This window comes from Homo sapiens, chromosome 11 (genome assembly GCF_000001405.40).
Source record: "Homo sapiens chromosome 11, GRCh38.p14 Primary Assembly".
Classification (NCBI taxonomy): Eukaryota; Metazoa; Chordata; class Mammalia; order Primates; family Hominidae; genus Homo; species Homo sapiens.
In genome coordinates, this window is record NC_000011.10 from 69147228 (window position 1) to 69159374 (window position 12147).

Here is a 12147-nt window from a genome sequence, read left to right on the forward strand (position 1 = left end):
GAGGTTGAATAGATTACGGTTTATGCTCAGCTGGGTTCATACAAAAGCAGGGAATGGCAACTTTATTTCTGTCTCCTCCTTTCTGCAGGATCTGAAAATGAGTTTTAATATCTACTAGAAGCTATACTTGATTTCAGAATTATCAAAGTATGAAAAATACATGCCTTAGAACTGAGGACTTATGGGATTCTAAGTGTGCTGTGCCTTGAGGGAACCCCAGTGGCCTTTGATCCCACATGGGCCATCAAATAGCGAGTAATGTCCCTACTTTGAGTGGTCATGTCCATTCTGAAAGGTCCACCAATTCTCAGTATGAGGTCCTCTGAATGTGCTGATGTCTGGTCACACACGGGGGATCAGTCAGGCTGGGCTAAGTCAGTTAGGTGACACATGACCCCATGGCGCAGTAGCTCTCAGCAGCATGGGTGGATTTCTCGGCCATGTTACGCATCCCACCTGGGTCGGCTGAGACTGCTCCATGCACTCTTCACTCCAGGCAGGGCAGCCTCCTTCCTGGAAGGAAAAGGAAGAGGGAAAAGAGAACGTTGCAAACCATGCCCTGGCTTATTTATTTATTTATTTATTTATTTATTTATTTATTTTGAGACAGAGTCTCGCTCTGTCGCCCAGGCTGGAGTGCAGTGGCGTGATCTTGGCTCACTGCTACCTTCTCCTCCCGGGTTCAAGCAATTCTTCTGCCTCAGCCTCCCAAGTAGCTGGGACTACAGGAGCATGTCACCATGCCTGACTAATGGTTTTTGTATTATTAGTTGAGACAGGGTTTCACCCTATTGGCCAGGCTGGTCTCGAACTCCTGACCTCATGATCTGCCTGCCTCAGCCTCCCAAAGTGCTGGGATTACAGGTGTGAGCCACCACACCAGGAAGCGACAGGAGTATTTCCTCCCTTATCTCACTGGCCACTCCTGAGTTCAGTAGGGTGGGGACAGGCAGTCGTCCTGCAGGGCAGGGAAGCCGGGGCATGGGGGAGGAGTGATAGAGCCACCTCCCCTGGCTCAGCATCTTTGCCTGGGGCTCTGCTCAGTGACAGGAGCCTGGGTGTGAACTTTCAAGTCAGGGATCCCAGAGGCAACAGATACGTTCCACCTCTCTGAGCCTCGCATGCTTTACAAGTGCCAGAAATGGACGTTGGATACGGAGGCACCGTGTGAGTTGTCACACCCTCTGTGACTATACAGGTTGTTGGTGTTTTCGTCTTTGTTAATCGCCCAACAGTGCTCACTGCTAAGGAAATGTAACAAAATGTAACGTGACGTTCAGTGTTCAGCGGGACTTGGAAATGTGTTGCACGTGTGTGTGCAAATAGGTTAGAGGTGGGGGCCGGCCACATGTGCTCTGCTTCTCGTCTGCCTTCTTGGAGCGCCCACAGTCATGTGTGTACCTCAGCCCTCAGCGGGTTGGTCAAGCTTGGACTTTGCCTGTGGAACCAATGCAGGGGCTGCTGAGCTCTTCTGATTCTCTCTCGGGAGCCTGGGGCTGGGAGGCCAGCAGCAAAGTGTGGGTGCTGGACTTATTTATGGGTGAGGCTGACAGTGCCTTTAGGCTCAGGCAGAGCAGAGGGAGCCAATGAGCAGAGAGAAAGAGAAGGTGGAAGAAGTCAGGCAGAGAGACCCAGTGCCTTAGAAGGAGAGGTGGCCACTGTGCTTCCTGGTGAGGTTCCAGGGGATGTGCCTGACCTAGCCCCCAGCCGGGGGATGTACCTGGGCTAGCCTCCAGCCACGGGATGGGCCCAAGCTAGCCTCCAACGGGGGTCATGCTGTGTTTGGAATTGGTTTCTTCCGGTGGATTCTTGGTCTCCCTGACTTCAAGAATGAAGCCGCAGACGCTCGCGGTGAGTGTTACAGTTCTTAAAGATAGTGTGTCTGGAGCTTGTTCCTTCAGATGTTCAGATGTGTCCGGAGTTTCTTTCTTCTGGTGGGTTTGTGGTCTTGCTGACTTCAGGAGTGAAGCCACAGATCTTCGCAGTGAGTGTTACAGTTCTTGAAGGTGGCACGTGGGAGTTGGTTGTTCCTCCCAGTGGGTTCATGGTCTCGCTGACTTCAGGAATGAAGCCACAGACCCTCGTGGTGAGTGTTACAGCTCATAAAGGCAGTGTGGACCCAAAGAGTGAGCAGCAGCAAGGTTTATCATGAAGAGCGAAAGAACAAAGCTTCCACAGCATGGAAGGGGACCCGAGTGGGTTGCCGCTGCTGGCTTTGGTGGCCAGCTTTTAGTCCCTTATTTGGCACCCCCACGTCCTGCTGATTGGTCCATTTTACAAAGCACTGATTGGTCCGTTTTTACAGAGTGCTGATTGGTGCAATTACAAACCTTAAGCTAGACACAGAGCACTGATTGGTGCGTTTTTACAGAGTGCTCATTGGTGCATTTACAAACCTTTAGCTAGACACAGAGCGCTGATTGGTGCATTTTTACAGAGTGCTGATTGGTGCATTTACAAACCTTTAGCTAGACAGAAAAGTTCTCCAAGTCCCCACTCGACCCAGGAAGTCCAGCTGGCTTCACCTCTCAATGCCTAGGCTAGCAGCTAGCCACAGGACAAGCCCCAGCTAGTCTGAAGCCAGGGGTCACGCCTGGGCTAGCCTCCAGCCAGAGGATGTGCCAGAGCTAGCCTCCAGCGGGGGTCATGGCTGGGTTAGCCTGAGCAGCCTCCTCTTCCTGGTAAGTGAACACTGTCACCCACTGACAATGGAGTCTCTGGGAGGCTCTGAACACATGTCGCTCAGGGTGGCTGTGAGACCACAGCATTTCTTTCTCTCTCTCTGTTTTTTTTTTTTTTAACTTTTATTTTAAATTCAGGGGTACATGAGCAGGTCTGTTACATAGGTAAACTTGTGTCATGGGGGTTTGTTGTACAGATTATTTCATCACCCAGGTATTAAGCCTAGTACCCATTAGTTATTTTTCCTGATCCTCTCCCTCCTTCCCTCCCATCCTCCAACTTCTAAACGGCCCTAGTGTCTGTTCCCCTCTTTGTGTTCATGTGTTCTCATCATTTAGCTCCCACTTATAAGTGAGAACATGCAGTACTGGGTTTTCTCTTCCTGCATTAGTTTGCTACGGATAATGGCCTATTGCTCCATCCATGTCCCTGCAAGGGATGTGTTGTCATTCCTTTTTATGGCTGTGTAGTATTCCATGATATATATGTGCCACAACTTCTTTCTCCATTGATGGGCATTTAGGTTGATTCCGTGTCTTTGCTATTGTGAATAGTGTTGCAATGAATGTACATGTGCAGGTATCTTTATAATAGAATGATTTATATTCCTTTGAGTATATACCTTGTAATGGGATTGCTGGGTCAAATGGTATTTCTCTCTTTGGTCTTTGAGGAATTGCCACACTGTCTTTCACGATGGTTGAGCTAATTTACACTCACACCAACAGTTTATAAGTGTTCCTTTCTCTCCAGAGCCTCACTAGTATCTGCTGGTTTTTTTTTTTTTTTTTGACTTTTTAATAATAGCCATTCTGATTGGTGTGAGATGGTATCTCATTGTGGTTTTGACTTGCATTTGTCTAATGATCAGTGACGTTCAGCTTTTATTCATATGATTGTTGGCTTCATGTATGTCTTCTTTTGAAAACTGTCTGTTCATGTCCTTTGGCCACTTTTTAATAGGGTTGTTCCTAAGCAAAAAGAAAAAAGCCGGAGGCATCACTCTACTCGGCTTTGAACTATACTACCAGGCTACAGTGACCAAAACAGTATGGTACTGGTACAAAAACAGACACATGGAGCAATGGAACAGAATAGAGAACCCAGAAATAAGACCACACACCTACAATTATCTGATCTTCGACAAAACTGACAAAAAAAGCAATGGGGAAGGATTCTTTATTCAATAAATGGTGCTGGGATAACTGGCTAGCCATATGCAGAACATTAAAACTGGACCCCTTCCTTACACCATATACAAAAATTAACTCAAGAGGGATTAAATACTTAAATGGAAAGCCCCAAACTATAAAAACCCTGGAAGACAACCTAGGCAAGCCTTTCAGGACATAGGCATGGGCAAAGATATCATGATGAAGATGCCAAAAGCAATTGCAACAAAAGCAGAAATTGACAAATGGGATCTACTTAAACTGAAGAGCTTCTGCACAGCAAAAGAAAGTATCAACAGAGTAAACAGACACCCTAGAGAATGGTAGAAAATTTTTGCAAACTATGTATCCGACCAAGGTCTAATATCCAGAATCTATATGGAACTTAAAGGAGACCACAGCCTTTCTAAGGTGACAGGAGATTTTCCTTGTGGCACATACTTGGTGACTACAGGGCACCTCCCAGTAGCTCAGTTCCACTTTCAGAGCCCTGGAGCATCATGGGGTTCTCATGCCCATTGTCCTTGGGCTGGGGTCCTGTTCCAAGGCACACTCCTGCCCACTCTCGCAAAAATCATTTTGTGTGCACATGGCAGGCCTCAAACATGTCTCCCTGTCTTTGTCCCCACTGTTTGCCTTCTTGTTTTATTTAGAAATCAAGAGAGAATCTAGGCTTGGGAAATGGCAGAGATTTCCCCAAGCTTAGCACAATTCTTTTATCTTTTTTTTTTTTAATTTAATACCATTAGGTCATCTCTTTTAAAAGAATTTCTGGGAAAATCTTTATTTTGTGTATTTCTCAAGCATCTTGACATTCCGTCTCAGAGTAATGGCCCAATCACTTCCTCCCAACTCCCCTTCAAATTCCCTGTCGGCTTTATCTCTTGCAAATGGCTCGGTGCTGCAGAGCAAACTCCCCGTCCCCGGCCCCTCCACCCCCCTCTCTGGGGACAAAGAAAGGGCCCCATACTCTCACTGAGGCCTTTGGGCAAACCAGATACATCATCACAGCCTAAGACAAGGAGGAGGCCCGGGACCCTTCAAAGATGCCTGCTCCAGAGTCCGCACACAAACCTCTGCCTATTAACTCTTTCAAAGAACGTTTGTTGGCTGCGAAAGTCGTCTGGGTTCATTGATAAAAAAAAAAAAAAAGATATTGTCTTTAGGGCTGCTGAATATATTAATGAGTTGTCACGGAGGACAGTTAGGATTTGCAAAGGGTGATAGTTACCATTCACCTACTTGTTGCCTTAAAAGATAAAATCATGTGCAAATGAAGACAGAGCTTTCAGGCACCTCCGCCAGAACACACTTCATTTGAGGCGACGGCAGGGATGCTACTAAAACCCCAAAGAGTTAAGCTGAAATGGTTAATATTCCTGTCTCTGCCCGCCTCCTCCTGTATTCTAATGTATGAACCCGCTCATTCAGATGTGAGTGGGACTTGGGGACAGCTTGCCTTCCCTACGCGATTGTGTATGGCCCCCGCTGAAATGTTCCTAAAAACACGATTTTGTAAACGCTTATGCTCCACCAGACATCCAGCGCATCTACTGGATGCCCAGCGTCTACACCAGACGCCCAGCGTCCCGAGTGGGGTTCACTTTGTCTCTTCACACCCAGGGACTCTCAGCCTGAGGTGAGGGAAAGGAAGGGGGGTTATTAAGAATTCTGACAAGGTAGGCTGAATAAATTGTGTTTTCTTTGTGAGCCTTAATCCGGTGTTGTATTGGCTTCTGGACATGGCTAATTTATTTGGAATTTCATTCTGTTCCTGACAGCGTCCTTGACTAGCTGTTTGATCACCCCGAGCAAAGTTACATACCAGCTTTCAACCGTTGGGAGGGCAGCGGCGTCCTTTTTCTCAAGTGCCTTCTCCTGGGTCGGGCTTTATGCCTGCAGCAGGGCGTTTCAAACGGCTGAGGCCATCCCTTGTTAGGGAGAGAAACCTCCCGGGCAGGGGTCTCCCTCAATGAGGAAGCCCTCCACTTCCCCCCACTCGTCCCACTGTTCGTGATTTTAATCTGCTTTTGTGGCGCAGGAAGAAAGAAAATTAATTTTCGCCCGTCTGTGTGTAGGGAGCATTTCAGTGGAAACCCGGTTTGAAATGCATGTTCTGTTGATTTCGGCAGCCTGCGCCGGCTGGGGTTTTGAGATGCAGCATTCTCAGGGGAAGAGGTGATGGGCCACAGGCCTTCGTGGGGTGGGAACTCAGGCTCCCCGTGGGCCCTGGACGGGGTCCTCATGTCCTGTGCTCCGTCTTGGCAGGAGTAAGAGTTGATGATGTTCATGCTCTCCCAACTCACCCATCTCTGCCATGGTTGCTTTTTTTTTTTTTTTTGGTTAAAGCAAGCATATTTTGCTGTTGCAAAAAGAAACAAAGAAAAAAATGATTTTCAACAGGACCCTGACATGTCTGAGAATGTCTCACTGTCAACAAGGCTGTAGGTGGTGGTTTTACAATTTTGGCGGAATCTGTTCTAAGGAAAACACGTGCTTCTTTTAATTTGGCCTCCCAGCTCCAATGCACGTGGCCGTCCTTGCTGAGAGTCTTCTGGGTGCCTGGAACTGTGCTAAGTCCTGGGGGATTCGGCGAGAGCTCGAGTTCTAGAAACACATGGAAGAGTTCAGAGGATGTTGGTGCTATGAAAATAACAAAACCAACCAACACACTGAGGCCCTGGGGGATGTGCCTGGTGGTCCCTGGGGGAGGGCGTTCAGTATTATTCCTGGGTCCTGCATTTGAGTCAGCCAAGTCCAGCTCATCTCGATGACATTTGGGCGGGGATTTCCCCTGCAAAGCACTCTTATCCCCAGCCTTGCTTGCAGAAGCTGGGAAGGGATTATCATCCCCTCACCGTTTTTTTTTTTTTTTTTTTTTTTTGAGATAAGGTGTTGCCCAGGCTGGAGTACAGTAGCTTGATCATGGCTCACTGCAACCTCTGCCTCCCAGGTTCAAGTGATCCTCCTGCCTCAGCCTCCTAGCTAGGTGGGACAACGAGTGTGCACCACCACATCCAGCTAATTTTTGTATTTTTTTTTTTTTTGTAGAGATGGGGTTTTGTCATGTTGCCCAGGTTGGCCTCGAACTCCTGAACCTTCTCACGTCGGCCTCCCAAAGTGCTAGGATTATTTTCCCCTTTTATTGAGGGGAGGAAACTGAGGCCCAGTGATGCTTCAGTGGAGACCAGCTTGCCTGGGGCTCACAGGAAGCTGTTCACAAGGTTCTTGGGGCTCTGTCCCAGGCTGTCACCTGTACTGAGGGCTGGTCCTGGGCGGGGACCAGGCTTTGGGGGCAAGAACTTGCACCTCCTTGTTACTTCCACTCCAGGCCTTCCCCACGGAGCTCACCTGTGGAGAGGTTTCCTCTGCCAAGCATTTCATCAGGAAACAGTGAGTGAGGGTGCGTCACTCACTGCTCTGTCAGCGTTGAACATTTGGGTGCAGGAAGATGCCTTGGCTCTTTGAGGTCCCGATGGCAACTTGCATCCCCAGATCCATCCTCAGAGGCCCGGGGCTGGGAGCATCCCCGGATCCATCCTCAGAGGCCCGGGGCTGGGAGCATCCCCGGATCCATCCTCAGAGGCCCGGGGCTGGGAGCCACCACCGCCCAGCTCCATGCGTTCCCATTGGCGGGGTCTGGGTCTGCGCTGATGAGGCGCTCGTCACTCTTATCCTGGATTATATTCACAGGCGGGTAACTCGGGGGGTGGTGTGATGGGGAGACACAGGAGGGAGGAGCAGGGAGGGCAAGATGAAGGGGAGCAGTCTGGGAAGGGGGCGACTCCAGGCACAGCCGCACGTCCCTGGGATTTTCAGGGGGAGCTCTGGGGGTTCAGAGTGGCCTCTAGTTTGTCCTGGTCCAAAGCAGGGAAGCTGGGCTACGTCCTGCCCAGGTCAGCCTTAGGTTAAGGGCTGCCTGGGGGAGGGAACTTCCTGGGCCTTCGGGTCTCTGTGCACTGGGGTGGCTCCTGTGGCCCAGAATGCCCTGGAGAAGGGTCCTACTGGAAGCGAAGGTGCAGGGCAGCAGGGCCTGAGGCGCAGGAGCTGGTGGAGGCTCCCAGCACAGGTCGCCGCCCCAGTCACATCACTGCTGATGGTGGGGGGACTTGGGGAGTTTCCCCCGAGAATGGGAGGTCTCACAGTCCCCGTGCTGCAATGCTGTCGGTGCACTGTGTCTGCAACGTGCTCATGGTCACTTGCTTTTTCTCTGTGGCCCCGGCCGCTTTATCCAGCAAGTAGCCCCCTCTCCTCTCCGGAGAAGCCGAGCCTGGATGCCGCTGGGAGGAGGTCACTCCCTTCCTGTCTCGAAGGGCATGCCGTCCTCGTCCTTGCTGACTCCCAGAGGCCCAGGGACGTCTGAGGGGGAGGGGCCGGGCCTCCTTGACCCCTGCGTGTGGACACCATGTGACTGGGGTGTGGTTGACTCTCTGTGTCCGATTGGGTGCTTGGCAAACACAGAGAGTTTTGTCCAAGGCCACCTTGGTCCCCACCTGTCCAGGTTGGGAGGTGCCCTGCCTGGTGTGGCCTGAGCTGAGCGCCTCTGGCCGGAGCAGACGGCCCCGGCTCCCCCAGGACATGTCACCTGGAGAGGTGGCCCTTTCAGGTAAGGGACATGCCCATTGGCAGCAGCCTCTGCCCCCTCCCTGCATACACAGCTGCTCCCATCTGGGGACCCTCACCCCACGTGCGGATGGGCTTCCCCAGGAAGTCGGCAGGACTTTCCCTGGCCTTCTGGAAGTCCCCATCAAGCAAATGCTCTATCGATGACTTACTCTATGACGGGGTCCAGAGAGCTAACTCCCCACCCACGTTCGAAGTGATCTTCAAACCGCTGCGCGTGGAAAACAAGCCCAGAGCTCAACGTTCCCTAAGTGAGTGGCCTTTGACAGCAGTGCCAGGCAGCCCAGTGGGTGCAGGGCACACCACAGATGGAGGAAGGGCCAGGCATGCTTCCCAGACAGCCTCTGCCAGTCCAGGCAGGGGCTCCAGGGTGGCTGCGGGAAGGCAGCTTAGGCGGTGCCCGGCCCAAGGTGAGTTGGCATCATGCTCCACTTCCCGTTTGAACGTGTGGTCCCGTTTGAACCTTCTGGAAAGGCTTGGCAGGGAGGACACTCATTTTGTAGACTGGGAAGGAACTGAAGAGCTGGCTTCCGGCGACCAGCGATGGGCCCCAGATCCCTGTGGCCAGGAAGGCCCCCATTGCTGTTCTCTGTAGCTCAGGCTGGACATTTGCTGGTGAGAACTGGCCGGACTCCCAGGACCCAGCCGCCAGAGACCTCTGTTCCTCACGCTCAGCCCCCTAGCTCCAACTGGGGCCCCTTTGCTTTACAGGATGTAGGCTTGGAGTTAGAGGGGGCAGTTCTGGCGGTTTATCTCTCACTCACAGAAACTCGGCTGTGAGAGGCCAGAGCTGGACTTGGGGGGCAGAGCCTGTAGAGGTCAATGTGTCCTTATTGGGTGTGCACACGTGTGAGTCTGTGTGCACACACATGTATACATGTGTATGCGTGTGTGTGTGTGTGTGTGCGCGCGTGTGGCAGTCAGAGAAGGCTGGGCAGACACTGTTATTTCAGAAAAGATGTGGAGGCCTTTCTGAAGGCATCCACTGAGAGGCAGGGGCCAGGATCTCTGTGCCCAGGCGCTGGGCGTGGCCCCTGAGAAGTGCTCTCTCCCCTAATCCTTCAAAGCAGGAGGTATTTGCTTCACTTTCTAAGGCAGGATCTGCGGCTCTGAGAGGTTGCACAACTTGCCCGAGGTCACTCAGCTAGTAGAAGGCAGGACTGGCCTCCGGTCCAGGGTGACTGTGAGGATGTCAGGGGACCCTGCAGGCCTGTGCGCCCCAGCTTAGGGCTACAGGTCCCACCTAAGGCTTCTTGATGGAGGTTGGAGGGGCGAGCTGGAGGGAGGTGCTGCTGGGGGTCCACCGGTCCCCTTCCTGGGGGATGAAGCCGGTTTCCCGCGCTGACCCCCTTGCCATCAGAGGCCCAGAGCGCGGTCCTTGTGCTGCTGAGCTGTGTTTGGGGCCGCCTGTGGGCTGTGGCCGCCTGTCCTCATCTTCTCCCCTTTTCTCCTTGGCTTTTCATCCTCAGGCTCCGTCCTTCTTCCCCGTGGTGGCCCCAGCCTCCCTGCCAAGCTTCCCGGCCCCCGCCCCATCCCGGGCCTGCTGCTGCGGAGACCGTGGGCCGGCGCTGGACGGCGCGGCCTCCAGAAGTGATAGCTAATTGGGGAGAGAAAGGGCCCAATTGTCTGGCGGGGCCGGAAGAGCCGCGTGGGCTGCTGAAAGCGTCGGGAGGAGGTGGCCGCTTCGCCCAGCAGCTGCCGCCGGGGATGTTTGCAGATTACGTCAGCGCTGGCGAGCAGGGGGCGCGGGGACAGCGAGGGGGGCGGGCTCCCGGCGGCCTCCCGCCCCCCAGGCCCCTGGACAATGCTGTCATTGTCAGCACGGAGAGTGGTTAATTCTGGATGAATGGTACACGGGCCTCTTGACCAAGGAGGCTGCTCGTCGTCCCCAGTCTGTCCTCTCACATGCCAGGGAGGCCCCGGGCTGGAGTCTGGCGGGCAGATCTGGCCTGCTTGGTGGCACCAGAGAGAACAGGGCGGTCCCTTGGGGGCGCCGGCTGCAGAGGCCCCAGGCTGGACGGAGCTTCCTGTCCTGGGTCTGCACAGCAGCCACTTGGCAGTGCCGGGCTAGGGTGGCAGGGCCCCACTGCATCTCGGTTCCAGGGCAGAGGCTGCTGCTGCCCTTTGGGGCTGACTTCAGGCATGACCTCCTGGCCAGGTGGCAGCTTTGGCCCTGACCCGCTCCTGGCCCTGCTGGTGGTGATCCTGCTAGCACGCCTCATCCTGTGGTCCTGCCTCGGGACCTACATCGACTACAGACTGGCCCAGCGGCGGCCCCAGAAACCCAAGCAGGACTAAGCCTCTGCAGGCTGCGGCCTCCACGCGCCCTGTCCCGAGACTCAGCCGGCCCTTCCAGTGGTGGTGGGAGGGAGGGGAGCAGGGCAGGCGCATGATCCCCATGTCCCACCCCTGGGGCAGGAGCTCAGAGAGGCCTGAGATGGATCGTGCCTTCCCAGACTGACCAGGGCTGTCCCGTAGAGGCAGCTGGCCATGTGGGGAGATGGAGGGGCCGGCCTTGCAGGTCCATCACCAGGTTCTGGGGTCCCCGGTTGCAGGGAGTGGTCCTGGGGGTGGGTCTTGCTTTAAGACCTTCTCTGCCTCCAATTCCTTATAAATATGCCTGCAGGAAGAGCTGGGTAAGCCAGAGGACTCAGGTGGAGGTGCCACAGAGACAAATGTGACCTCATCACAAGCTGGCCCTGTTACCAAAGGCCACGTCCTGTCTCAGCTCACCACCCTCATAACTAGTCTCCTCCTGCCTCCCAAGGGACGAGATAAGTGCCGATGGCTGTCCTGATTTCTCCAGAGCAGACCCCTGGGAAGGGTCTCAGGACGCACTTGTGAGGCTGAGTTGACAAGCCAGACGCACTTGGCTCTGGTTGACCCTCTGCACACTCTCTAACGGTCTGAACAGTTAGGGCACAATGATCCCTGCCTCCCTCCCTCAGCAGGATATCATGTAGGGGACAATTTAGGGGACAAGCCAAGGCACCCATCAATGCCCTCTGTTCATCTGTTCCTGCAAGTGTGTGGCTGGGAAGTGCCCAGGAAGGCTGACAGGGCAGGGAAGTTGATTTGAGGCCAAGCATCCAGTGCTCCTGCTCCACCTCCGTAGCACGTTAGCCGTGATGCCAGTGACTTAACCCACAGCTTGGGGAAGCTCAAAGGCTCCACATTCGAGCCTCTTGGGGGAAATTCGGCAAACACCCATGTCCAAGTTCCACACTGTATTTCCTGGGATCGTTCCAGCAGATCGTGGATTGCAGCGAGGGCTGCTGACTGCATGCGGAACTGTGAGATGGAAGGGACTGTGGGCGGCAGCTCCAGGGAGGAGCATCGAACCAGATATCGTCTCTGGGAGGCTGGGCCTGGTGATGTGGCAACGTCTTGCTCCCTGAGAGGTGATGGGTATGCTAGGGATGCTCGCTCAGGGAACGTGGGCCAAGTCCTCTGAACACGAAGCTCGCAGAGGGGGTGATTCCTGTGAATTCTGAAAGGACTTGGGGGCGTCCAGCAAGAGCAGGAGCTTAGATGGTGGTTCCAGGGCTGGTGTTGCTGACTGGGACGAGTGGACCCCCAGGGTGGGCATGGAGTGGGGCACTGGCTGGGAGCCTCTGCCTTGCTGTGTCCTGGCTGAATGAACCCAGGTGAGGACCAGAAACGCTGTTAT

At 53.6% G+C, this 12147-nt stretch overlaps 1 protein-coding gene and 1 long non-coding RNA gene across 4 annotated transcripts in view, besides 4 other annotated features; one reads left to right on the plus strand and one right to left on the minus strand.

Annotated features, from left to right (window-relative positions):
* LOC338694 (uncharacterized) overlaps window positions 1-12147 on the minus strand; it is a 24335-nt gene continuing 12188 nt past the window's right edge. The window contains exon 3 of the long non-coding RNA NR_104161.1: window positions 1-513. This is a non-coding gene — a long non-coding RNA (uncharacterized LOC338694). The remainder of the gene's footprint in view (window positions 514-12147) is intronic.
* Window positions 1484-1983: an enhancer, noted in NCBI's record as "H3K4me1 hESC enhancer chr11:68916179-68916678 (GRCh37/hg19 assembly coordinates)". NCBI's record gives its function as "activates a minimal SCP1, AML or CMV promoter by ChIP-STARR-seq in primed H9 embryonic stem cells {active_cell/tissue: H9 hESC(primed)}" and the evidence as "EXISTENCE:reporter gene assay evidence [ECO:0000049][PMID:30033119]".
* Window positions 6534-6828: a silencer, noted in NCBI's record as "tiled region #4947; HepG2 Repressive non-DNase unmatched - State 10:DNaseD, and K562 Repressive DNase matched - State 8:EnhW". NCBI's record gives its function as "represses a minimal TATA promoter and a strong SV40 promoter by Sharpr-MPRA in HepG2 and K562 cells {active_cell/tissue: HepG2 | K562}" and the evidence as "EXISTENCE:reporter gene assay evidence [ECO:0000049][PMID:27701403]".
* Window positions 8262-9189: an enhancer, noted in NCBI's record as "H3K4me1 hESC enhancer chr11:68922957-68923884 (GRCh37/hg19 assembly coordinates)". NCBI's record gives its function as "activates a minimal SCP1, AML or CMV promoter by ChIP-STARR-seq in primed H9 embryonic stem cells {active_cell/tissue: H9 hESC(primed)}" and the evidence as "EXISTENCE:reporter gene assay evidence [ECO:0000049][PMID:30033119]".
* The window catches only part of SMIM38 (small integral membrane protein 38), a 6868-nt gene continuing 3066 nt past the window's right edge, over window positions 8346-12147 (plus strand). The window contains exons 1-2 of one of the 3 annotated variants that reach the window (NM_001394169.1): window positions 8346-8460; window positions 9947-12124. In NM_001394169.1, the coding sequence (NP_001381098.1) occupies window positions 10620-10775 (156 nt within the window). In that variant the 5' untranslated portion in view covers window positions 8346-8460; window positions 9947-10619 and the 3' untranslated portion in view covers window positions 10776-12124. Of the gene's footprint in view, window positions 8461-8707; window positions 8888-9946; window positions 12125-12147 lie in introns of those variants that run through there. The other 2 variants (NM_001369201.2, NR_161183.1) reach the window with 2 other exon arrangements.
* Window positions 10074-10433: a silencer, noted in NCBI's record as "silent region_3692". NCBI's record gives its function as "represses an Ori minimal core promoter by ATAC-STARR-seq in GM12878 lymphoblastoid cells {active_cell/tissue: GM12878}" and the evidence as "EXISTENCE:reporter gene assay evidence [ECO:0000049][PMID:35858748]".